This window comes from Homo sapiens, chromosome 4, assembly GCF_000001405.40.
Source record: "Homo sapiens chromosome 4, GRCh38.p14 Primary Assembly".
NCBI classification, from domain to species: domain Eukaryota; kingdom Metazoa; phylum Chordata; class Mammalia; order Primates; family Hominidae; genus Homo; species Homo sapiens.
Window position 1 is genome coordinate 128,399,149 of NC_000004.12, and position 2,118 is coordinate 128,401,266.

Sequence of the window (2,118 nt, forward strand, 5' to 3'; positions counted from 1 at the left end):
GGTGCCATCTATTTACCTTTGTTTTTATTGCATTTGCTTTTGGGTTCTTGGTCATGAAATCCTTGCCTAAGCCAATGTCTAGAAGGGTTTTTCCAATGTTATCTTCTAGAATTTTTATAGTTTCAGGTCTTAAGTTTAAGTCCTTAATTCATCTTGTGTTGACTTTTGTATAAGGTGAGAGATGAGGATCCAGTTTCATTCTCCTACATGTGGCTAGCCAATTATCCCAGCATCATTTGTTGCAAAGGGTGTCCTTTCCCCACTTTATGTTTTTGTTTGCTTTGTCGAAGATCAGTTAGCTATAAGTATTTGGGTTTATTTCTGGGTTCTGTATTCTGTTCCATTGGTCTATGTGCCTATTTTAATACCAGTACCACACTGTTTTGGTGACTATGGCCTTATAGTGTAGTTTGAAATTAGGTAGTGTGATGTCTCCAAATTTGTTCTTTTTGCTTAGTCTTGCTTTGGCTATGTGGGATCTTTTTTGGTTCCGTATGAATTTTAGAATTGTTTTTTCTAATTCTGTGAAGAATGATGGTGGTATTTTGATGGGGATCGTGTTGAATTTGTAGATTGCTTTTGGCAGTATGGTCATTTTCACAACATTGATTCTACCCATCCATGAGCATGGGATGTGTATCCATTTGTTTGTGTTGTCTATGATTTGTTTCAGCAGTGTTTTGTAGTTTTCCTTGTAGAGGTCTTTCGACTCCTTGGTTAGGTATATTCCTAAGTTTTTTTTTTTTTCCAGCTATTGTAAAAGTGGTTGAGTTCTTGATTTGATTCTCTGCTTGGTCACTGTTGCTGTATAGAAGAACTACCAATTTGTGTATATTAATCTTGTATCTGGAAACTTTGCTGAATTCTTTTATCAGTTCTAGGAGCTTTCTGGAGGAGTCTTTAGGGTTTTCAAGGTAAATGAGCATATTGTCCTCAAACAGTGACAGTTTGACTTCCTCTTTACCTATTTGCCCTAAATTTTTCTCTTTCTGATTGCTTTTCCTAGGACTTCCAGTACTATGTTGAAGAGGAGTGGTTAGAGCGGGCATCCTTGTCTTGTTCCAGTTCTTAGAGGGAATGCTTTCAACTTTTCCCCATTCAGTATTATGTTGGCTGTGGGTTTGTCATAGATGGCTTTTGTTGCATTAAGGTATGTCCCTTGTATTATGCTGATTTTGCTGAGAGTTTTAATCATAATGGATATTGGATTTTGTTGAATGCTTTTTCTGCATCTATTGAGATGATCATGTGATTTTTGTTTTTAATTCTGCTTATGTGGTGTATCCCATTTATTGACTTGCATATGTTAAACCATCCCTGCATCCCTTGTATGAAACCCACTTGATCATGGTGGATTATCTTTTTGATATGTTGCTGGATTTGGTTAGCTAGTATTTTGTTAAGGATTTTAACATCTATGTTTATCAGGGATATCAGCCTGTAGTTTTCTTTTTTTGTTATGTCCTTTCCTGGTTTTGGTATTAGGGTGATGCTGGCTTCATATAATGAATTAGGGAGGGTTCCTTCTTTCTCTATCTTGTGGAATAGTGTCAAAAGGATTGGTGCCAATTCTTCTTTGAATGTCTGGTAGAATTCTGCTGTGAATCCCTCTGGTCCTGGACTTTTCTTTGCTGGTAATTTTTAAATTACCATTTCAATCTTGCAGCTTGTTATTGGTCTGTTCAGGGCATCTAATTCTTCCCAATTTAAGCTAGTAGGGTTGTATTTTTCCAGGAATTTATCCATCTCTTCTAGATTTTCTAGTTTATGTGAGTAAAGGTATTCATAGTAGCCTCGAATGATCTTTTTATTTCAGTGGTGTCAGCTGTTTCATTTATTAGTGAGGTTATTTGGATTTTCTCTCTTCTTTTCTTGGTTAATCTTGCTAATGGTCTATCAATTTTATTTATCTTTTCAAAGAACCAGGTTTTTGTTTAGTTATCTTCTGTATTTTTTTTTGTTTCAATTTCATTTAGTTCTGCTCTGGTCTTGGTTATTTCCTTTCTTCTGCTGGGTTTGTGTTAGATTTGTTCTTGTTCCTCTAATTCCTTGATGTGTAACCTTAGAATGTCAGCATGTGCTCTTTCAGTCTTTTTGATGTAGGCGTTTAGGACTATG